We start from the raw sequence: 24,996 nt of genomic DNA, 5'->3' as shown, positions 1-24,996 counted from the left end.
ATTAAAGGAGTTAGACTCTCTTCAGTGCTTGAGCTGGTTAGTTTGATGGTGGGCCTGAAGATGCTGTACCACAGCAGGGCTACGTTCAGGAAGTACAGGTGAGCATGAAGGGGACGAGCAAGGACAAGCTGGAACCCATGGGGACACATCTCCCTCCTCCACCCTCATGGTCACAGGCAAATTGCAGGAGATGCGCCCTTTCCCGTGAAATTTGCCCCAGGCTGGGCTCTCTAGAAGCAGATGCCAAGACAGTTTGGGATGGAAGAGGATGGGTGTTTATTGGGATTAACACTTGTGAAAAGATGGTGGAGAGGGCAGTCAACTGCTATGTGGCCCAAGAATGCCTCAGCCACCAGGTGGTGCTCCCATCAGCCAGAATTGCCCATCATGGTGTCCACTGTGCTTTTGTAGCCCCCTGGCAGATGGGAGCTTCCCCAGAAGGGACGGGACCTCAGGCAAGGCAGCTCTCTGAAGTTGCTGATAGCTGGAGGCCACCTGCTGCCGCACTCGCTACAGCCAGGGCAGCAAGCCCTGCCTGGAAAGAGGATGTGGGTGGTGCATCTCCGCCTGCCATAAAGCTGCCTAGGTGCCTGACCCAGGCTGCAGGACAGCTGAAGGCAGAGATCGGGGGGAGCTGGTGAAGCCACGGGCCTGGCTGCTTCCCACACCTGCCAGATGAGCCAGGGGTTAGTGACTGTGTCTTCCCTGGATCTGGTCCTAAGGCCATGTCCTCTCAAGGCCTGGTCGCTCTTCCTGGAGGGGCTGTCTCTGCTTTGCAGACTTGTCCTATGTCCCCAGTGGGCTTCAGTGGGCTGGCTTGCCATTCCCTCCTTTCCACTGAGGTGAGTGAGTTCCCATGCACTCATTGCCCATTTGGGTTTCTTCTATTTTTCTTATCGGCTTAGAGAATTTCTTTACATCCTCTTGAATCAGAGCATCTTCTAGAGTCCAGACAGTGCTGTCCAATAGAAATACAATCTGAGCCACATATACAATCATAAATTTTCTAGTAGCCATACTTCTAAAAGTGCAGAGAAACAAGCAAAATTAATTTTACTGGGATACATGGACAGATACTTTTCCAAAGAAGACATACTTGTGGCCAGAAAGCATATGAAAAAAAGAAAAAGCTCGGTGTCACTAATCATTAGAGAAATGGAAATCAAAACCACAATGAGATACCATCTAACACCAATCAGAATGGCTATTTTTAAAAAGTCAAAAAATAACATGCTGGCAAGGTTGTGGAAAAAAGGGGATGCTTATACCCTGTTGGTGGGAGTGTTTAACCGTTGTGGAAAACAGTATGGTGATTCCTGAAAGAGCTAAAAATAGAAATACCATTCAACCCAGCAATCTCATTATTGGGTATACACCCAAAGGAATATAAATCATTCTACCATAAAGACCCATGCATGTGTATGTTCATTGCAGCACTATTCACAATAGAAAAGACATGGAAACAACCTAAATGCCCATCAATGACAGATTGGATAAAGAAAATGTGGTACATATACACCATGAAATAGACTATGCAGCCATAAGAAAGAACAAGAACATGTCTGTTGTGGGAACACGGATGGAGCTAGAGGCCATTATCCTTAGCAAACAAACACAGGAACAGAAAACCAAATATCACATGTTCTCACTTATACGTGGGAGCTGGCCAGGCACGGTGGTTCACGCCTGTAATCCCAGCACTTTGGGAGGCCAAGGTAGGCAGATCACCTGAGGTCAGGAGTTGGAGACTAGCCTGGCCAACATAGTGAAACTTCATCTCTACTGAAAATACAAAAATTAGCCCGGCCTGGTAGTGGGCGCCTGTAGTCCCAGCTACTCGGGAGGCTGAGGCAGAATTGCTTGAACCCAGGAGGCAGAGGTTGCAGTGAGCCAAGATCTTGCCGTTGCACTCCAGCCTGGGCGACGAGAGTGAAACTCCATGTCCAAAAAAAAAAAAAAAAAAAGTGGCAGCTAAATGATGAGAACAAATGGACACAAAAAGAGGGACAACACCGGCCAGGCGCGGTGGCTCACGCCTGTAATCCCAGCACTTTGGGAGGCCGAGGCGGGCAGATCACGAAGTCAGGAGATCGAGACCATCCTGGCTAACATGGTGAAACCCCGTCCCTACTAAAAAAATACAAAAAATTAGCTGGGCGTGGTGGCGGGCACCTGTAGTCCCAGCTACTCGGGAGGCTGAGGCAGGAGAATGGCATGAACCTGGGAGGCAGAGCTTGCAGTGAGCTGAGATCCCCACTGCACTCCAGCCTGGGCGACAGAGTGAGACTCTGTCTCAAAAAAAAAAAAAAACAGGTGGGGGGAAAACACCCACTGGGGCCTCTCAGAAGGTGGAGGCTGGGAGGAGGGAGAGGATCAGAAAAAATAACGATTGGGTACTAGGCTTAGTACCTGGGTAACAAAATAATCTGTACAATAAACCCCCATGATATGAGTTTACCTATATAACAAACCCTGAACCGAAAATAAAAGTTTTAAAAATATTTTACTAGAATAAATATTATTTCAATTTATAATTCATCTAAATTGTTAATGCAATATTCTATATATTTTATGTTATTTTTTCACACCAAGTCATTGAAATCTGGTGTGCATTTTATCCTTACAGCACATCTTAATTCAATTCACCACATTTTAAATGCCCCCTACCTGCACATGGGGGTTGGCTACAGCATAGTTCTAGAACCTTCTACCTATGTAATAACACACATCGAGGTCATTGCATTCTGATTCCCACCCCGCTAGGATACTAGCAGCGCAGATACGCTCACTTGAAGCTTGCATCTCTGTGGTTGGTGGGTTTTCCATGTTTAATCCAGAAGAGTTCCTCCCCAACACCTGTGCAAGGCCACAGCTCCAGGTGCTCTGGTCAAGGTGCCCAGTAGGATAAAGAAAATTTACAGGGTCATTTATTTCTGTTGTCTCCAAGACATCTCTTCGGAGGACCTCAAGAACGCACATCACTTGCTTCTTTTCCCACTTCTATTTCTGACTGCTTCGGAGCCAGGTTTTTGCTTTTTCCTGGCCAAACAGAAAATAAAGAGCATCTCTTGGATTCTCATCCACCTTCCCGTTCTTCAAGTAATTGCAAACCCAGCCTCCCTTTGTGGTTTTCTAAGGGTACGGTCTTGTGGGGACATAGAACAGGCAAGGTAAAGTGACTCATTCTCTACTCTCCCCTCCTTTTCATTGTAAATCCCAAAAAGAGAGACAAAAGGCCACATATACCTTTGTCCCTCAATGAACAGGAAATGAAGTGTGTTACCTTCTCAATTGCACACACGGATGCAGTTAACTGCTGTGTGTTTTTCTGAATGGAAGGAAGAGGGGCCTGGGCCCACAGAGCCATCTGGGAGCCGCTTCTGTGATGGTGAGGAGTGCCCAGGTGGCTGCTGCTTCTGCCTCTCCTCGCTGCTGCTTCTGGTCCTGCTGCTGGAGGCCAGATCTGGGTGAACTGAGTGCTGGGAATTCAACCCGGAATCTAGATTTAGACTGCTAAGTATGTCCACAGAGTTCCCGAAATACATCAGCACCTGCTTCTGGAAGGCAGAGCATTTGGACATTCCGTGGGAACGCTCCTGAGATGTCTTGGTTCTTACTTGAATTGCCAACAAAAACACAGTTCCATCTCTCACCTCTTCCCTCTCCTTCCCCCATCTCCTTCTTCATCCCCTCTCCCTCAACTGGTTTTTCTACCCATTTCCCCCAAATCCTTACCTGACCCCAAAAACTCCCTCTATATGCAATCCCTTTCCTTCTGCCAGGCCCCTGCTTTCCTGTCCACATCGTCTCTTGGCCTTTCCTTCTCTCTTGTGAAGTGATGGAAATGCATGGTATTATTTACCTAAATTAATTGACTCAAAATTTCCCTTTCACTTTCAATGAACCCTACTCTTTTAATGAAATAGTGACATTTTCTGTTTACCTAGACTACATAAATTTTACTTGTTGTATTTCTGTTAGTAAGGATATAAATCCCCTAGCTTTAATAGAACGTTGTAATTATAAATAAAATACTAGTTATTTTTAAATCTTTACGCATAAAACTAGAATAAAATTTTTATAGTGAAAATTAAGAATAACATTTTGAATATTATACAAAAAGTGGAAGTCCTATTTCTGTGGCTCTCATAATCCCCAGCAGTAACCACTGTTAGTGGATGTGCTGGCCGGGCGCGGTGGCTCACGTCTGTAATCCTAGCACTTTGGGAGGCTGAGGCAGGCGGATTGCATGAGCCCAGGAGTTTGAGACCAGCCTGGACAACATGTCAAAACCCCGTCTCTAAAATAAAAAACAGCGTATGTGCAGGCTTTGGAAACCTTTATCTTTCTCTGCAATTTAACACCATATAAAATATATAGTTTTCTTAAAGTTTGAATACAATGTAATTATTCTGTAATTGGTTTTATTCATTTATACATCTTGGGGACCTTTCCATTATTTGTGAATTGACTAAATTCTTTTTAAGTGTTTTTTTAAAAAATATAAAACATAGACATACACCATTATTATTTAAACAGATTAACAGAGCTAACCAACATTTCTAGTCATGTGTCAATATTTTGTGAAGACAGAAGAAAGTAAAATCACTGGATTTAAGACTATGCATATTTTGAGTGTTGAAAGATGTTGCCAAAATTTCCCTCATAAGAGTTGACAGTCCCACCAAAGTATGCCTTTCTCCACACCTCCCCAATTTCGCAGATCAAACACACATCATTGCCATTAGTTAGTTTATTTATTTATTTATTTTTTGCCTGTTCCTGATTTCTTATTAAGACTATCTCTTCCTGGATTAAGCGTTGGTAGGTACTTCCATGACTCACTCATCCATGTGCTTTGCCATTTTTTATTGGATAATTTCTCACGGGATAATTTCTATTGGATAGTTTCTCATTGCTATAATGTCAGATTTCTTTACATATTCCTTACATATTCTGGATAATACAGGTGTCTTGTCCTTCTTGCCTTTTCTTTATGTATATTGTATACCGTCTAATAAATGCTTTATAGATTTGTTTTGTCAAATATTTTAGTATTTTTTAGGACTTCTGAGGTCTTTGACTTGCTGAAGTTCTTCACTATTCCAAAATCAAAACATTTTCATCTTATATTTTCTTCTAATATGTAAATACTTGTCTGCTTTATTTAGCTTTTTAGTTTATTTCCATTTATATTTCTAAAGGATACACGGACTGAAGTTTACTTTTTCCCAAGTGAGCAACCATCCCTTGTGCCAATACAGTTTTGGGGTCACTCATCTTCTCCACACTAGTTGAAAGGCCATCTTTATTTAGCATACCCTGAATTCTCTTGTGTACAAAGGTCTGGCCTGATTATTGCAAAATGCTCTATAAATATCTTTAAAGTAGTCACTCCTATTGTCCTGCTTCAAAAAATCCTCTCCCCCTCCCCCTCCCGTCTCCCGTCTCCCCACGGTCTCCCTCTGATGCCGAGCGGAAGCTGGACTGTACTGCCGCCATCTCGGCTCACTGCAACCTCCCTGCCTGATTCTCCTGCCTCAGCCTGCGGGTGCCTGGGATTGCAGGCGCGCGCCGCTGCGCCTGACTGGTTTTCGTATTTTTTTGGTGGAGACGGGGTTTCGCTGTGTTGGCCGGGCTGGTCTCCAGCTCCTAACCGCGAGTGATCCGCCAGCCTCGGCCTCCCGAGGTGCCGGGATTGCAGACGGAGTCTCGTTCACTCAGTGCTCAATGTTGCCCAAGCTGGAGTGCAGTGGCGTGATCTCGGCTCGCTACAACCTCCACCTCCCAGCCGCCTGCCTTGACCTCCCAAAGTGCCGAGATTGCAGCCTCTGCCCGGCCGCCACCCCGTCTGGGAAGTGAGGAGCGTCTCTGCCTTGCCGCCCATAGTCTGGGATGTGAGGAGCCCCTCTGCCTGGCTGCCCAGTCTGGGAAGTGAGGAGCACCTCTGCCCGGCCGCGACCCCGTCTGGGAGGTGAGGAGCGTCTCTGCCCGGCAGCTGCCCCGTCCGGGAGGGAGGTGGGGGGCAGCCCCCGCCGGGCCAGCCGCCCCGTCCGGGAGGTGGGGGGCGCCTCTGCCCGGCCGCCCCTTCTGGGAAGTGAGGAGCCCCTCTGCCGGGCCACCACCCCGTGTGGGAGGTGTACCCAACAGCTCATTGAGGACGGGCCATGATGACGATGGCGGTTTTGTCGAATAGAAAAGGGGGAAATGTGGGGAAAAGATAGAGAAATCAGATTGTTGCTGTGTCTATGTAGAAAGAAGTAGACATAGGAAATTCCATTTTGTTCTGTACTAAGAAAAATTCTTCTGCCTTGGGATGCTGTTAATCTACAACCCTACCCCCAACCCCGTGCTCTCTGAAACATGTGCTGTGTCCACTCAGGGTTAAATGGATTAAGGGCGGTGCAAGATGTGCTTTGTTAAACAGATGCTCTGAAGGCAGCATGCTCGTTAAGAGTCATCACCACTCCCTAATCTCAAGTACCCAGGGACGCAAACACTGCGGAAGGCCGCAGGGTCCTCTGCCTAGGAAAACCAGAGACCCTTGTTCACTTGTTTATCTGCTGACCTTCCCTCCACTATTGTCCTATGACCCTGCCAAATCCCCCTCCGCGAGAAACACCCAAGAATGATCAATAAATACTAAAAAAAAAAAAAAAAAAAAAAAAAAGAAAGAAATTGAAAAGAGAAAAAAAAATTATTTACTATTCATAGATTTTCTCCTCTCCACAAACTCGAATTAGTCTATTAAAACTCTTAAAATTCTTCTTTAGATTTAATTGGGAATATCATGGAATTTAGACATATATTTGAGGGAGAACTGAGACTTTATTAATCAAAAACCATGGTAATCTTTCTATTTATTCTTGACTTCTTTTATATTCTCAGTAAAAATGTTAATTTTCTTCCTGTAAACACTATGTGTTTTTTTGTTCAGTTAACTTTTAGGCACTTAATATTTTTGTTGTTTTAAATAGTATTTCCCTTAGTGATGTTTTCTTTTTTTTTAATTTTTAACTTAGTTTTTTTAAATTTAACTTTTATTTTAAGGTCAGGGTATATGTGCAGGTTTGTTGTATAGGTATATTTGTGTCATGGAGGTTAGTGTACAGATTATTTCATCACCCAGGTATTAAGCCTAGTATTCAACAGTTATTTTTCCTGATCCTCTCCCTCCTCCCATCCTTCACCCTCCAATAGGCCCCAGTGGGTGTTGTTCCCATCTATGTGTCCATGTGTTCTCATCATTTAGCTCCCACTTATAAGTGAGAACATGTGGTATTCGGTTTTCTGTTCCTGCATTAGTCTGCTAAGGATAATGGCCTCCAGCTCCATCCATGTCCCTGCAAAGGACATGATCTCATTCTTTTTTATGGCGGTGTGGTATTCCATTGTGTACATGTAGCACATTTTCTTTATCCAGTCTACCATTGATTGGCATTTAGGTTGATTCCATGTCTTTGCTGTTGTGAATAGTGCTGCAATGAACATATGCATACATGTGTCTTTATAATAGAATGATTTATATTCCTTTGGGTATATGCCCAGTAATGGGATTGCTGGGTTGAATGGTTTTTTTTTGTTTTGGAATCTTGCCTGGACTGGAGTGCAGTGGCACGATCTCAGCTCACTGCATCCTCTGCCACCTGGGTTCAAGCGATTCTCCTGCCTTAGCCCCCAAGTAGCTGGAATTACAGGTGTGCGCCACCATGCCCTACTAATTTTTGTATTTTTAGTAGAGACGGAGTTTCACCACATTGGCCAGGCTGGCCTCGAACTCTTGGCCTCAGGTGATCCACCCGCCTTGGCCTGGGATTACAGGCATGAGCCACCATGCCTGGCCTGGTAGTTCTGTTTTTAGGTCTTTGAGGAATTGTAACACTGTCTTCCACAATGATTGAACTAATTTACACTCCCACCAACAGGGTATAAGCATCACCTTTTTTCTACAAACTTGCCAGCAGGTTTTTTTGTTTTTTCTTTTTGACTTTTTAAAAGTAGCCATTCTGATTGGTGTTAGATGGTATCTCACTGTGGTTTTGATTTGCATTTCTCTAATGATCATTGATGTTGAGCTTTTTTTCACATGATTGTTGGCCACATGTATGAAAAGTGTCTTTTCATGTCCTTTGCCCACATGGAATTGTTTTTTCTTCTTGTAAATTTATTTAAGATCTTTATAGATGCTGGATTTTAGACTTTTGTCATATGAATAGTTTGCAAAAATTTACTCCCATTCTGTAGGTTGTCTGTTCACTTTGTTTGTAGTTTCCTTTGCTGTGCAGAAGCGCTTTAGTTTAACTAGATCCCATTTGTCAACTTTTGCTTTTGTTGCAATTGCTTTTGGTGTCTTCATCATAAAATCTTTGCCTATTCTATGTCCAGAATGATATTGCCTAGGTTGTCTTCCAGGGTTTTTATAGTTTTGGGTTTTACATTTAAGTTTGTAATCCATCTTGAGTTCATTTTTGTATATGGTGTAAGGAAGGGATCCAGTTTCAATCTTCTGCATGTGGCTAGCCCATTAAGCACCATTTATTGACTAAGGAGTCCTTTCCCCATTGTTTGTTTTTGTTAGGTTTGTCAAACTCAAATACTATCAAGTTTTGACTCTATTTTCTCACCTGGCTCCTTGCTGAAAACTCTTTTTTGGTGCTAACAATTTTCTGAAGTTTTATAATTACTGAGAAAGTAAAAATTAATTCAGGCTGAGAAAGTAAAAATCAGTCTGGACTTTCGTCAAGCTGGGATAACAGACACAGATAAAGCCAGCTGCAAATTTAGAGCAGATGACTTGTCTTCTGTGAACAAGCCACAGCTGTGAAATGCCGTTAACAACCCTCTCTTTGAGTGACTACTGGTTTCTTACTATGGAGGAATTTTGTTCTCAAAAATTATAGACTGCCAGGAGCTTTGCTATTTGAAATTAAATCAGTATGAATGAAACATCCCACTCTTGCCTGGGGGATCGAAGTCACTTTGACACAGAGAAGCAGCCTCAATTTCCAACCCTGGTGCAGAGCTTCAGCACAGAGGTTTACAGACACAACTTTTTACATCTCTTTTAACTTTGTAGTTTCCAAGAACATAAAACCCTGGGCCCATTTTCCAGTCCAAATGTGGTGATGACCTTTTACACATAGCTCTGCTTTATTCTGAGCCTATCAAAAACCTGTGTGTTTCAATTTTGACTAAATTTCATCCTTCTTGAGAGTCCTAGAATTACTAAATCTTTTCCTTTGTTTTTCCTGTGAATGGACTCCTTGTTGCAATGAATCAAATAAACCTGACTTTGTGAGACTACTGGTTAGGCTGGGACACTGCTTTAACTTTGTTCATAAATCGTCTGAAAAAATGAAAAAAAATACATACATGTTGACTCTTGTCCATTTTAATATCATGCCTCTCACTTATCTGTAATCCTGGAAGCACTACAGCTTCTAGTACATCACTAAATAGAAATAACGGGCATCTTTTAACTAACTCTTAAATTGTATTATAAATATTTCTAAAGTTACTTTAGTAGAATGTTATTCAAAAATTCTGGTAAATACTTTTTTTTTAAAATTATTGTGACAGAATCTTGCTCTGTTGCCCAGGCTGGAGTGCAGTTGCGCCATCTCAGCAAACTGCAAGCTGATTTTTGTATTTTTAGTAGGGACGGGGTTTCATCATGTTGGCCAGGCTGGTCTTGAATTCCTAACGTTAGGTGATCCACCCACCTAGGCCTCCCAAAGTGCTGGGATTACAGGTGTGAGCCATCACACCCGGCCTCAAGTACCTATAATTTTGTTGTGGTAGGAACATCTAAAGTCCACTCCTCTAGCAATTTTGAAATATACAATACATGACTATTAACTATGGTTGCCATCTGTGCAATTAATCACCAGAACCTATTCATCTTATCTACCTGAAACTCTGTAATCTTGGACCAAAGTCTCCCTTTTCCCATCCACCTCTGCAACCTCACACCCTGGTAACCACCATTTTACTTTATCCTCCTATGAATTCAACCTTTTTTTTTTTTTTTGAGATGGAGTTTTGCTCTTGTTGCCGAGGCTGGAATGCAATGGTGCAATCTCAGTTCACTGCAACCTCTGCGACCTGGGTTCAAGCGATTCGCCTGTCTCCAGCCTCACAAGTAGCTGGGATTACAGGTGTGCGCCACCATGCCCTGCAAGTTCAACTTTTTAAGATTCTACATATAAGTGAAATCACGCAGTATTTGTCTTTCTGGGCCTCGCTTAAGGAAATTTTTATTTTTTTGTGTAAATTTAAGGGATACAGGTGCAGTCTTGTTACATGGTTATATCGCGTAGCAATGAAGTCTGGATTTTTAGTGTAACCATCACCCAGATATGTACATTACACCCACTAAGTAAGTTCTCATCCCTCATTCCTCTCCCATCCTCCCACCCTACTAAGTCTCCAGTGTCTATTATTCCACTCTCTATGTCCACATGTACACATTATTTAGTGTCCACTTAGAAGTGAGAACATGAGGTATTTGAGTTTCTGTGTCTGAGTTGTTTCACTTAAGATAATGGCCTCCCGTTCCATCCATGTTGAAGAAAACGTGATTTCATTCTTTTTTTATGGCTGAAGACTATTCCACTGTGTGTGTGTGTGTGTGTGTATCTCACATTTTCCTTATCCAGTTATCCATTGAAGAACACTTAGATTGATTCCATATCTTTGCAATTGTGAATAGTGCTATGATAAGCATATGAGTTCTGGTGTCTTTTTGATACAATGATTTATTTTCTTTTGGGTAGATACCCAGTATTGTGATCACAGGATCAAGTGATAGCTGTATTTTTAGTTATTTGAGAAATCTCCATACTATTTTCCATAGAGGTTGTACTAATTTATGTTCCCACCAACAATGTCTAAGCGTCCCTTTTTCTCTGCATCCTTGCCAACATTGGTTATTGTTTGACTTTAACTGATAGCCATTCTAACTGGTATAAGGTGATATCTTATTATGGTTTTAATTTAATGATTAGTGATCTTGAGCATTTGTCCATATACTTTTTGGCTATTTGGATGTCTTCTTTTGAAAAAATGCCTATTCATAGTCTTTGCCCGCTTTTTTAAAAAATATTTGACACGTGTACTTTATTTTATGCCAATTCTACCTCAATAACACTGCTTTTTTTTTTAAGATATGGGGGAACCTTAAATATATATTGCTAAATCAAAGAAGCCTATCCGAAATGGTTACATACTGTATAATTACAACTATAGGACATTTTGGAAAAGGCAAAACTATAGGGACAATTAAAAGATCAGTGATTAACAGGGGTTCGGGGGAAGAAGAAAGGGAAGAATATGTGGATTACAGGAGATTTTTAGGGCAGTCAAATTAGTGTATGATATTGTCATAGTTGACACTTTTTTTATTATACTTTAAGTTTTAGGGTACATGTGCACAACATGCAGGTTAGTACATATGTATACATGTGCCATGTTGGTGTGCTGCACCCATTAACTCATCATTTAACATTAGGTATATCTCCTAATGCTATCCCTCCCCCCGCCCCCCCCCCCACAACAGGCCCCAGTGTGTGATGTTCCCCTTCCTGTGTCCATGTGTTCTCATTGTTCAATTCCCATCTATGAGTGAGAACATGCGGTGTTTGGTTTTTTGTCCTTGCAATAGTTTGCTGAGAATGATGGTTTCCAGCTTCATCCATGTCCCTACAAAGGACATGAACTCATCATTTTTTATGGCTGCATAGTATTCCAAAACAATAGCAAAAACTTGGAACCAACCCAAATGTCCAACAATGATAGACTGGATTAAGAAAATGTGGCAAAATCTTTGCCCACTTTTTAATAGAGTTGAGAGGTTTTTGTTGAGTTGTTTGAACCTCTTGTAAATTCTGGATATTACTCTCCTATTGGATGTATAGTGTGCAAATATTTTCTCTTGTTCTGCAGATTGTTCACTCTGTTGATTATTTCTTTTGCTATGCAAAAACTTCTTAGTTTAATTAAGTTTCATTTGTCAATTTTTGTTTTTGTTTCCTGTGCTTTTGATGTCTTAGTCAGGAATTCTTTGCTTTGACCAGAAAAGTTTTCCCTAGGAATTCTTATAATTTTTTCAGTTTCTGCTTTTATATTTAGGTCTTTAATCCATCTTGAGTTTTTTTTTTTTAATTTTTGAGGCAGGGTCTTGCTCTGTCACTCAAGCTGGAGTACAGTGGCAGGATCATGGCTCACTGCCATCTCAACCTCCTGCCTCAGACTCCTGATTAGCTGGGACTATAGGCTTGAATTTATTTTTGTATATGGTGGGTATTAGGGAGTCTAGTTTCATTCTTCTGCATGTGACAATCCAGTTTTCCCAGCCACATTTATTGAAAAGGGTGTCTTTCCCCCCAGCGTATGTTTTTGTCAACTTTGTCAAAGATCAGCTGGCTTTAGATATGTGGCTTTATTTCTGGGCTCCTATTCTATTCCATTCATCTGTACATTTATTTTTATACCAGACCATGCTGCTTTGGTTAGTGTAGCCTTGTAGTATAACTCAGGTAATGTGATGCTTCTAGCTTTGTTCTTTTTGCTTAGGTTTGCTTTGAATTCAGGCTCGTTTTTGGTTCTAGACCACAAAGACAAGCAGATTAAGAAAAAAAAACCCACAAAAAATACTAGATAACAATTAACATTATGTCAGGAATGAAACCTCACATATCAATATTAATGTTGAATATAAATGGGCCAAGTGCTCCACTTAAAAGATACAGATGGGTAAAATAGATAAGAAAAGCCTGCACCAACTATATGCTGCTTACAAGAAATTAACCATACTGATAAAGATGCTTATAAACTGAAGGTAAAGAGATGGAAAAAATATTCCAAGCAAATGGAAATCAGAGGTGAGCAGAAGTAGCTATACTTGTGTCAGATGAAATGGACTTTAAATAAAAAACAGAATAAAAAAAGACAAGGTCTTACATAATGATAAAAGGATCACTTCAACAAGTGGATAACAATCCTAAATATATATGCATCTAACACTGGAGCACCCAGAATCATAAAACAAATATTACTAGACCTAAAGAAAGAGATAGACAGCAATAAATCATAAGCTGTGGGGAGGGGATTTCAATACCCCACTCACAACACTAGACAGATTATCAAAACAGAAAATTAACAAAGAAACACTGGACTTAAGTTGGACTTTAAATGGACCTAATAAACATTTACAGAACCTTCTACCTAACAACTGCAGAACATAAATTCTTCTCATCGGCACATGGTACATGCTCCAAGACAGACCATGTGTTAGTTCATCAAACAAGTCTCAATACATTTTTAAAAAAGAAATACCTAATGTAGATGATGGGTTGATGGGTGCAGCAAACCACCACGGCACATGTATGCCTATGTAGCAAACCTGCATGTTCTGCACATGTATCCCAGAACTTAAAGTATAGTTTAAAAAATTGAAATTGTATCAAGTATCTTCTCAGACCATAGCAGAATAAAACTGGAAATCAATACCAAGAGGAACTTGTGAAACTACACAAATACCTGAAAATTAAACAACACATTTCTAAATGATCTTTGAATTAATAATTAAATTAAGATGGAAATTTTAAAATGTTTTGAAACAAATGAAAATGGAGACACAACATAGTAAAACCTCTGGAATACAGCAAAAGCAGTGCTAAGAGGAAAATTTATAGCATTAAATGCCTACTTCAAAAAAATAGTTCACTCTGTAATCCCAGCACTTTGGGAGACCAAGGCAGGAGGATTGCTTGAGCCCAGGAGTTTCAGATCAGCCTGGGCAACATAGCAAGACCCTGTCTCTAAAAAAAAAAAAAATCACGAATTAACAACCTAGTGTCACATCTCAAGGAACTAAAAAGAGCAAGAAGAAAGCAATCCCAAAGCTAGCAGAAGAAACAAAATAACAAAGATCAGAGCAGAACTAAATGAAATTGAAACCAAGGAAATTATTCAGAAGTAGAGAGGTATTAGTTCATTCATTAATTACCTTGATTAAAAAAAAGTTTAGCAGACATTAATTCAATATTTATTTATTTTAATTTTTATGAGTGTCAGTTCCCAGGCCCCTGATTTAATGGGTGGTGATAAATGGCTCAGTTTTTAAATTATTCCTTCCCAATGTAGTGAGAGCCTCAGAAATTTTACTACTGATCCAAACAATACTAACAATTTTTTTCCTCTCCACCCTCAACCTCCACTTTCTCCCCTGTATCTTGCCTCTCCTCAGCAGAAACTTCCTCCCTGCAACCCCATCAAACAGAGAAGAGAAAAAGGGGAAATTTGGGATTTGGGGAAACCTTTCCCAAACATGATTAAATCTCCAGCAGGGAGAGGCATTCTTGAACTTGATTTTATATAAATCAAGCTTGATCCACACTCAAGCTTGATCCACAATCCCACTGCCAGCTGTTGTGGTGTTTTAATTATTTCTTCTTGCTAGTTCCATCCTCAAATGTTCTTTCCCTTTTTCTCAAAGCATGAAAAAAGAAACTGATGAAATCTGGGCACTTATTCTTTCCTTTTCTGAGTAATGCCAAAGACTCTCCTTGACTAAACTTTAGTTAGGCTCATCTAAGCCCTCTAGGCCTCAACCTTGGCTTTCGTCCTTCTTGGGCCTGCATTGCTGAGTTTTAGTGAGAATCTTGCTAAGTCAGTTTAGAGAGATATTCCCCACCCCTCATACCTGATCACTCTCAATATCCAATCAAATTCCTCATCCTCCAGCATCCCCCAAGTAATATGTGATTATCCTGGCCTGCCTTCAGCAAGAATCCTGTTGAATCTGTTTAACCAGGAGGCCCCTTTCCTCTGATGTCTTCTTAGTAATTTCCCATCCACTGACCTCCACCCTGCTCCTGGCTTATTCCCACTTATCCTCACTGTGTTCAGAATTGAGTCCAGTTCTACAGTGTGATCTCTCTTTCCCTGTTGCAGTCCTGAAGAAAATCTGTTTTTACCGCTTTAACTACTGTCCAGCTTTGGTTTGCTTTGCCGGTATGTAGTTGTTAGGGAGGAGTCACCATTAGAGGGACATTCATGTATTTTGTTTTAGTAAGTGTATTCCCTCCCTCAGTTGTTTTCCCTTCAAATTTGGGGAAGTATTAGAGATTTTTAGAATTTGACCTTTCACATTCTTCCCCTAGGCTGCTTTGATGAGGGAGGTGACGTGTTAGTCTCATGGAGTATGAGACACATAATTTCTAAAAATGTCTGTTTGCCTCTGAACACCTCCTGCTCTAACGTTTGAATAGAGTGGACTTTTTTAAAAATAAAATTGTATTAGATTTAGTGGGTGGGGGGGAGCTGGTTTGATGCCACCCTCTTACCCCAGCAGCCCTATACACTCAGAACATCTAGACTCTTCTCTTACTGCTCCAGCTGACATTTCCACCACAGCCTCCACAGCTCACCCAAAGGCACTCCACTTCAGAGACGCTATACCAGCAGGGAAGTTGCTATCTCTGTTCTTTCTCTATCCAGACCCAGGCCGGGCAAACAATAGAAGGTCAGTATATATTTAAGCATTTATTGCTGCCTAACAAATTACTCTAAAATTTAGTTGCCTAAATTATAAAAAATCAGTATCTCAGTTTCTGTGGATGAGAAATTCAGAAGCTGCTGAATTGAGTTGTTCTGGTTTGGAGTCTTTCATAAGTTTTAGTCAAGATGTTGGCAAGGGCTTTGGTCATCTGAAAGCTTGGCCAAGGCCAGAAGATATGTTTCCAAGAGGACTTGCTCACGTGGTGCTGGTTACTGTCAGGAGGGCTCAGTCCCTCCCAGTGTTGACCTCTGCATGGGCGGCTTGAGTGGCATCACAACATGGCGGCCTGCTTCCCCTCAAGTGAGCCATCCCAGAGACAGCAAGACAGAAGCCTCTTGTGTTTTATCACTTTACCTTGGAAATCATCAACCATCATTTCCACCATATCCCATTGTGGTCATATCTATTCAGCTGAGAGGCAACCACGTGAGGGCACACATGCCAGGAAGTAAGGATCACTGGGAGCCATTTTGGAAGCTGGCTACCACAGTGAGTAAATAAATAGAATGAATAAATTGGAGTCAATTAGTAGATTATCTAGAGAATAAAGGGTTTGCATTCCATGGTAATTATCAATAAGCTTCAGAAAACGTGGTTTTTACTTTTTCATAGTCCACTACCTGAAACGGAAAGTTATTATGTAGATAAATATAAAAATATAAAAAGCACATAACAGTAAAATGTATAAGTCTGTGTCTCTCCCAGCACTTTCATACTTCACACATGGCAGAGAGAGTGGAGTAGGAATTAGATGAGATCTGAGAATATCGGCCAAGGCTCTATGGACATGCACAGAGAAACGAAGCTTCACATGAGGTTTCCTATTTTCCTCATCCTAGCCCTTCTGGCACCTCACCCCAGGCACCACACCCCTCTTTTGAAAAGCTGCTTTAATTTCTTGTTTTTTCTTTGCTGTTCCAACCATATGTGCCCTCTCTTATTTTTCCTTCAAACTGGGTATACAAAGTGGTAAAGCCCAGATGTGGTTGGCAGAATTCGAAGATGCCTCTCAATGAGTCACACTCATACATATCCCTCCTCCCATTCCTTCTTTTCCATGAGGGGCCTGTGAATATGAGATGTCATACCTGTGAGTAGGTTATGTTATATGGCAAAAGAGAAGGGATTTGGGGCATAAAGCGAGTCCATAATCAATGTACTTTAAGTTAATCAAAAGGGAGATTATCTTGGGTGGGCCTGACCTAATCAGGTGAGCCCTTTAAAGGGGCATCTAAGGATTGGAGACTCAAAATGCTGAGATTATCTTCTGTTCATCTTGAAGAAGTAAACTGCCATGAGTGTAGAGGACTACGTTGCAGCAACTGCCATGCAGCCTCTAGGAGTTGGAGGCCTCCATTCTATAACTGCCAGGAACTGAATTCCACCAACAACCAGTGAGCCTGGAAAAGAATCTCGAGCTCAAATGGGATCACAGCCCCAGCCAGCACCTTGATTGCAGCCTGGTCAAACCTTAAGCAGAGGACTCTGCTAAGCCATGCCTAGACTCCTGACCCACAGAACCTATGAGATAATAAGTGTGGGTTGTTTTAAGCAGCTAAGTTTGTGGTAATATGTTATACAACAATAGGAAACCGTGAAGAACCATGGCTCTTCAAAAGGAGGTCTGTGTAATGCGTTTTGTCAATAAACTTGATTCCATGTCAAGAAGTTGAGAATCTTGTTTTAGAATGTGGAACAACCAAGTCACAAGCACATGCTTTAGTCTTGTTGACTTTGCAACAAAACTTTCATGATCAAGGAAGTAGAGAGAAGTTTCTGCCAAGAGCAAGAGGTCCACGTGACCTCTCCTCTTGCAGGCCATGGTGGAAAGGGGGCTGTGGTTGGTGTATGTTCCCTTGGACCCCCTCCTGCCTGAGGGGTCTGAAGACACTGGATTCCTTTGCCTTCCACCAGGTAAAAAGTCCTGCTCAAACTGCCTCAACCGGTCACTAGCATTCACTCCCTGCATGATGAGATAAGCATCTCCCTCTCTGCAGCATCATCCTGCACCTCCAGGTTCAGGCCTGCTAGAAATCCCTGCATGTTTTCAACCTAGCTGAGGAGCCACTTCCTCTGCTGAAGTTATTCCCCTAGCCCTAAGTCCTGTCACCTTCCTTGTGGCCAGGGTTGCAGCATGTGAGAGTTATTGGGTTAGATCATGGGTCCCCGATCCTTGGGCCATGGAGTGGTCTGTGGCCTGTTAAGAGCCAGGCTGCACAGCAGGAGGTGAGCAGTGGGCAAGTAAGTGAAGCTTCATCTGTATTTACAGCTGCTCCCCATTGCTTGCTTTACCACCAGAGCTCCGCCTCCTGTCAGATCAGTGGTGGCATTAGGTTCTCATAGAAGTGTGAATCCTATTGTGAATGGTGCATGTGAGGGATCTAGGTTGTGCACTCCTTATTAAAATCTAATCCCTGATATCTGCCACTGTCTCCTCTCACCCCCAGATGGGACCATCTACTTGCAGGAAAACAAGCTCAGGGCTCCCATTGATTCCACATTAAGGTAAGCTGTATAATTATTTCATTATATATTGCAATGTAGTAATAATAGAAATAAAGTACACAATAAATGTACTGCACTTGAATCATCCCGAAGCCACCCCCCCACAAGCCCCTGCACCTGGTCAGTGGAAAAATGTCTTTCATGAAACCGGTTCCTGGTGCCCAAAAAGTTGGGGACTGCTGCCTTAGATAACTTCCACCTCTAGGCGTGGATCAACACTGCACAGTTCCTATCCTTAGTGTGAGTTAGTGTATAAATCAGTGAACTTATCACTTTTACTTCTTATGTTGTCTTCTCTTGCCTAATACCTTTCGCTCCTACCTTGGTAGGCTTTCGTTTAACTTTGCTGTGCTCTCCACGAGCTCTGCTCTCATTCAGATGCTGGCCTCAGGGACATCCAGCCCTTCTCTCTTGTGCCTCCAGCTGCCCCAGTGGACTTCCCCACCACGCCCCAGCTGAATGCCTGAGCTCTAGGAACCTGACCACTATCTTCGTAACTCCTGACCCTGTACCTGCTCAGGCTCCCATCTGCCCTCACTGGTCTCAGCTGGGCCCTGCGCTTGGTGGGCATGAGCCTCCTTCCTCATGTCCTCGTGCCCTGTGTCCTGCCCTTCTCTGGGTGGCCCGCGATGTCTTCCTGAGAAATCCAAACGCCCTTCCCGACTTGGCTGGCGACTCCGTGGTCCCCCACGTCCCAGCCGTCACTCCCCATGGTGACTGTACCTGGGTATAAAAAAGTTCCCCAGGGATGTGCTCTTTACCCTGACTCATGTGAACATGGCTGCCTCTGCCTGTTTGTCTCCACCACCCTGCCCTGAAGACCAGATGAGGGCTTCCCCTCTGTGTGCCCCAAACCACCTCTAGTTCTCCCTCCAGCAGAAACCATCGGTCCGGGTAGTTCTTGCCTGGTCAGATGCCATCTTCCCAGAAGACTGAAAATATGTTGGTGTGGAGTCTTATGTCAAATTCCAGTTCCTGGCACAAAGTAGATTATCAGGAAATAATTATTGAGAAAATATACTGTGTTTTTGGTATGGGCAAAAGATTTTCTAGCCAAAAATCAGGCTTTGCAGCAGGGATGTCTTGGCTGTTAAGCATGAAAAACACATAAAAACAAATCTGATAGTTCTGATGTAAGATTGTAGATAAAAATAAAAATAAAAATACTTAAGCCAGTTAAATTAGGAAATATTTGGGTATCAACTCCTTATAACTTAAAATTGCAAAATAAGTATTTAAAAATTCAAATCATATCCTGGTTATGTGGGCTTTTGTGTTGTAAGGTGGGTAACATTGCAGGATGTGTTGCCTCTTGGACACATTTGTAGTCATGAAAACATTTAGGTTCATCAAGTTTTGACCGACTAAATGATTTACTATTTCTCCTATTGAAATAATTTGTGTAAAACATTACATGTTTATTGTAAGAAATTAGTGCAGAAAATTCAAATCAAGAAAAATTACTGAAATATTGTCCATACATTATCAATTTATTAAAGGTCTGTGCATAGACTGTTTTACATAAAGACTTTACAGGAAATCTATTTTATTATTAACAAAAATCCTGATTTTAATCCATGTACCAAGAAACATGTTACCTGCTGTGAAAGTAGGAAGCTTATTTCACCTCCTTCTCCTACTCTCTTCTTAAATTCCTTAATATCAGGACCAGCATTAAATGGAAATGATGCAATCTAAAGGTATTTAGTGTGTGTCTATTCCTTTGGAGGTAAAGGAATAAAATGTGACCTCTGTGCATGAGGATTTGCCGTGACATTGAGAGAGAGAAGGAATTAAGTGCACACATCTGTCAATCAGTGTTTGTCTTCTGCCTAGTGGATCATGAATTGGATCATCCCTAGGGGAAGGATGCCCAGATTAACATTATAGCTAAGATCAGGTACCTTTGTCCTTTCAGGCTTTTGGTATTGCATGTAGCTTTGACCATCCCTCCCTTTGTTTGAATCCTTACAATATTCTTTCTTAGTCTGTTTTGGCTGCAAAATACTTTAGACTGTGTAATTTACAAATAACATTATTGCTCACAGTTCTGGAGGCTAGGAAGTCCGAGATCAAGGAAATAGCAGATTTGGTGTCTGGTGAAGGCCCATTCCTCATAGTTGACACCTTCTACCTGTGTCCTCACCTGATGGAAGAGGCAAATAAGCTCCCTTAGGACTCTTTTAGGAAGGCATTAATCCCATCCATGAGGGTGGAGTGTTATGACTTAATCACCTCCCAAGGGCCCCACCTCTTAATACCACCACATTAGGGATTAGGCTTCAACGTATGAATTTGGGGGGCTGCGATCACAAACATTCAGACCATAGTAAATATCTTTTTTAATATAAGACCTGGGCAAATAGGCACCCAAATGCAAGATTATTTGCACAATGGACAGGCCTCTCTGTGAGGTCTAACAAAAGCTGGAAATTCTTTCTCGAGTTTCTTCTTATGTGTCTTATATTTTACATTTAAAAGTTCTGAAAGAAGAGCACATGATAACTTTGCATTTAATTGAAGTGTGCATTATGCCCAGTGGTGCTCACCTTTAAGCCATGTTGCTGATCTGCTTAGGTGATAGCACATCCAACATTATTTTTCCATGCTTTTCCTTTCTCTAGGGAAGAGAGCAAGTAGCACCATGGAATTTTACTGTTTTGGTATTTATTATGCTCTCAAATCATTGCAGCCTTGTATAAGCAAGTGTGTGACTTTTTCCTCCAGGGAGGTCACTCAGAGGCAATGGCAAAGGGAGGCTCTGGGGCCCAGCACACTTCCTGCCTGGCTGCCTGAGTTCATCCCCTCAGCGTCCTCTGCTATGCTGTGTCAGCAGGTGAGCTCTAGTCCTGAGGCCCTGCCCTGTCACCTCTTCTCTGACTCAGCTGGTCTCACCCAACATGCTCAAGGATCCTCCCTGACAGTCAGCCCAGCTCTCCCTCCTCCTCCCATTCACATCCAGTGCCCAGCCCTGTGGGTTGCATCTCTTCAATTGTTCCTGGATCCTGGATCCTTTTCCTCCTCTTTATTCCTACAACAGCCACCTTAGACCAAGATCATCTCTTGCAGGTTTGATAAAATCGCCACCCTACAGATCTCCCCAACCCTGTCCTTGCATTCCTCAACACCATCCTTTCAGAGCTGCCGGAGTGGCCTGCACAGAGGGGACCATGACAGTGATGGCTTAGAAAGTTTCTGTGGCCTCCCTCCACTTGTCAAGAAAGACAAGCCCCTCAAAAGGCCTGCCTGGGCTTCACTCAGGCTTCTTGTCTTCCCTTTGCCCCAGGATCCTGTAGGGGCTCACACTCAGCAAAGCTGGAGACGTGTCTCCCCATAAATACCAAGCACAAGCTGGAGGCCTGTGTGCAAGATGTGAGTTTACCCAACTCCGATCCAACAGCTGGTCACAAGCTAGCGAGAAGAGGAAAAGAAAGCAGATCTGTGCCAAATTCAAGCCTTAATTTCTCAGCTCTCTTAGAAATCATATTTATTTCCTGGTTTCCAGAAGCTGGGAGTCACTATGTCAGTGGAGTCATTTACTTACCTATCCAAGCCCTGGAGGACAAGCCTGAGGCTGGGCAAGCTGGTGGCAGTGTGGCTGCAGCTCATCAGACAAGCCACCAGGTGCCATTCAAACAGAGTTGGGGTGGCTGAGGATGGAGGTCTTTATGTGTCAGATTTACTATAAATGTAAAAAAAACCCACTAATGTAAAGTATTAACTTATTAGATGTTCCAAAAATATGTATGCTAAGCATCAGATTTTTTTTGTGTGTGGAATGACTATTGGAGTTCCAGGTTTTCACAGTGGTTGGCGCAATATTCATTCTGGGAAGACAAGCTGCTAGCCCTGTTCTGCCTTTCTGTGCTTGTTCTTGGGATTTAGACATCCATTCACTTTTCAAAATAAGAACACATTTATAGAGCACACGCTGAAAGTGATGTGCCATATTAAGATATTTCCAAATAGTTTTCTTGAGGATTTAGGGTGTTATGTGATGAGTAATAAATGGAGAAAAGGAATTTTGACATTATGCTACAGTGACAGAAAACCAAGCTGCCTGGGTTAAGTTAGATCATCACTGGAGAGGCTTTTTCTCTGAAAACTGTTCTAGTGAGTTGCCAAAAATGGCATGAGGATATTAGGTAGAAAACATTGTTCAAGGACTTCTGCAAAGTAAGATCCTTCAAGTCATCTGTAACTTAGAACATTTTTACTTAAAATGGTGCTCACTGTGGTTGGTTTCCAGAACAGCCACAGATGTCTACTCCCATGGGTCACCTGTGCTTATGTGTTCTAGAACCTCCTGTTTTAAGTCGTAATATACCTAGAAGTCCCTGCATTCTGAGTTCCGTGCAACTAGGGTACTAGGAGCACAAATGCTCCAGTGTGAAACTGACTTCTCCTGGGGATGGTAGGGCTTCCTCTGTGGTCCAGTAATGGTGACGTCCCTAACTGGCAGCCTGGGCCCCAGCGTCAGGAGTTGGGCTCATGGTGACACAAAGGTAAGTCTCTCCCTTGCTGGAATGCATCCTTGTCTCATCTTTCTCCAATTTACCACTGCAGGGAGTCCCAGGAACTCACCCCAGTTGCTTTTTTCCATTGTCTATTTTTAAATGCCTCAGAACCGGGATTTTGCTATTCCTTGGCCAACTACAAAATTGAAGACTTTTTTGGTTCTCTCCAACACACCAGCACCTCAGAAACATTCATAACAACTTCCTGAAGGTTTCCTTTACATAAAAGACATGGACGAGCCATCCTTTCTCTGCTCATCCGTCTTCATTTAGTCCTGAAGTGATAGACAAAAGCATACAGATGTTTTCAGGCTTTCCTTAGACAAAGAACAGACAGTCTTCTGCCTTTCCAGGAAAGAACTCAACCCCAGAAACTGATGGTTGTTTTGTCCCAGGAAAGAACAGATCTCTCGGGAGCGGTGCTGGGGCCACGGAGCAGCATCCCAAGGAGAGGAAGGAGGGACCATGTGCTCTCTCCCTCCACCTGTGCCCCATGCTTCTTTCCTCTTCCTTCTTTCCTCCTAGGTTGAAGACTGTTTCTTGGTGAATTGGGAACAGGGAATTTGCTGGTAGTGAGAGATGGTAACTTGGGGGTGGCACAGGACTGTCATTACCCATGGCTGGGCAGACTGTGTGTTTCTTCAGGGACAGCTCTGAAATACCCTGAGCATCTAAAGACAAAGGAAGCCTAGAATTGAACACATTTCTTAAAACATACATAAATTTATCAAGCTTTTTATTAGGATACACACCCAGACTGACATGTTTTGGCTAGGGCCTAATAAACATCTCCATGGAGTTCACTAAATATTTCAGACTCTGCTTTGCCCCCATGTGCCCTAAATTTCCCTTCGCAATCTCCTACCCAACCTCTTTCCTCTAGACTACCTTCATCCTCCTGTTCATCCTCTGGTCTCCAGTCTCCATGTCCTAACCTTCCCTCCCTCTTCCTCCCCCAGCCATCACCTCCTTTTCCTCTCCTATACCCCTCCCTCACCCTCTTTTCCTCTCCATCTTTCTTTTTTAAGAAAAGAACATTGCTATTTACCTTAATAAAGGGACTAATTGCCTTAATGTGTCCATATCTCTTTTTCAGTAAAGACTTCATATCAATGTTTCATGGAGAGACCTCTGGTTTATTTAGGGAGTATGAATTTGAACTGGCACTCTCAGTTCATATGGATATAAACTTGCTAGATTTAACAGAAAAGATATGTAAATTATCCTATTTGTTATCTTCATTTCTATTTTCACACAATATAAAGATCCACAGTAATGAAATATATAAAAGTGTATGGTGCATAGTTTTATGCCTGGAACTCTCACTAATCTCCCCCATCCACTCACCAAAGGTAACAATTGGAAAGTTTTTAATTTTCTTAAACCACATGGACATAATTAAATATATGCGTATGTGGCTGCCAGATGTGATGTGCTCACCAATATGTCTGTTATATGTAATATGACTGATTTTGCTCAGTGGCTGGTGGGCCTTTGTGCATAATCAGTATTATTAGTAAGTCGATGGCTAGCGAACAGGAGATTGTTAAGTACAGGCACTTACTCCTTGGGTTAGGCTGTTCTTTGTTGCTAAAAAGAAACACCTGAGGCTGGGTGATTTGTAAGGAAGGAGGTTTAATTGGCTCACAGTTCTGCAAGCTGTGCAGGAAGCATGGCAAAGGCATCTGCTCTGCCTCTGGTGAGGCCTCAGGAAACTTTTACTCATGGCAGAAGGCAAATGGGGAGCTGGTATATCCTATGGCAAGAGCAGGAGTAAGAGAGAGTGGGGAGGTGCCACACAATTTAAACAACCAGATCTCTGAGAACTCACTCACCCTCATGAGGACAGCACCAAGCCATTCATGAGAGATCCACCCCCATGATGCAAACACTTCCCACCAGGCCCCACCTTTAACATTGGGAATCACATTTCAGCGTAAGATTTGGAGAGGACAAACATTCAAACTATATCACCCCATTCTCAGTGACACTGCTTTGGCTAAGGGGACTTGGGAGTTATTTCTCAGGCTTTGTTCTAAGAAGGACGATATGGAGCAGGTGGGCAGGTTATTATTTCCCCATGCCTTGCTATGGAATGGGTAAAGGAATTTACCTTATTTCCGTTAGGGTGAAGCCAACTTCCTTACTGTTGTCCTGTCCACATGCTTTGAGGTGGCCCAGAGTGTCTTGGTGTTCCCCTCTATGCCTCTGAAGCCCTTATATCCATACTAAACTTTTAAAAAAATCACTAATCAATCTCTTGTTATAGGTCTGTTCATATTTTCCATTTCTTCTTTTTTCCAATTTGTAAAATTGTAGTAAAATACATACAACATAAAAGCTACCACCTTAACCATTTTAAGTGTACATGTTAGTGGTATTAAATACATTTATAAAGTTGTGCAACCATTA

The 24,996-nt window shown here is 42.2% G+C and overlaps 3 long non-coding RNA genes across 4 annotated transcripts in view; 1 reads left to right on the top strand and 2 right to left on the bottom strand.

Moving 5' to 3' along the window:
• Window positions 1–252: 252 nt before the first annotated feature.
• On the bottom strand, window positions 253–2,688 carry LINC00851 (long intergenic non-protein coding RNA 851). The gene is made up of 2 exons (NR_034167.1): window positions 2,668–2,688; window positions 253–958 (listed from the first exon to the last, which is right to left on the bottom strand). It is a non-coding gene; the product is annotated as a long intergenic non-protein coding RNA 851 (long non-coding RNA).
• Window positions 2,689–18,837: 16,149 nt separating this feature from the next.
• Window positions 18,838–22,429, bottom strand: LOC107985418 (uncharacterized). Its single transcript, XR_001754517.2, has 4 exons — window positions 22,301–22,429; window positions 21,612–21,749; window positions 20,114–20,213; window positions 18,838–19,042 (listed from the first exon to the last, which is right to left on the bottom strand). It is a non-coding gene; the product is annotated as an uncharacterized LOC107985418 (long non-coding RNA).
• Window positions 22,430–22,453: 24 nt separating this feature from the next.
• The window catches only part of ZNF133-AS1 (ZNF133 antisense RNA 1), a 47,923-nt gene continuing 45,380 nt past the window's right edge, over window positions 22,454–24,996 (top strand). For both annotated transcript variants that reach the window (NR_187569.1, NR_187570.1), the window contains exon 1: window positions 22,454–22,572. This is a non-coding gene — a long non-coding RNA (ZNF133 antisense RNA 1). The remainder of the gene's footprint in view (window positions 22,573–24,996) is intronic.

Source organism: Homo sapiens, chromosome 20 (genome assembly GCF_000001405.40).
Source record: "Homo sapiens chromosome 20, GRCh38.p14 Primary Assembly".
Classification (NCBI taxonomy): domain Eukaryota; kingdom Metazoa; phylum Chordata; class Mammalia; order Primates; family Hominidae; genus Homo; species Homo sapiens.
Note: the sequence above shows the minus strand (reverse complement) of the source record. Positions and strands in the feature narration are given on the sequence as shown.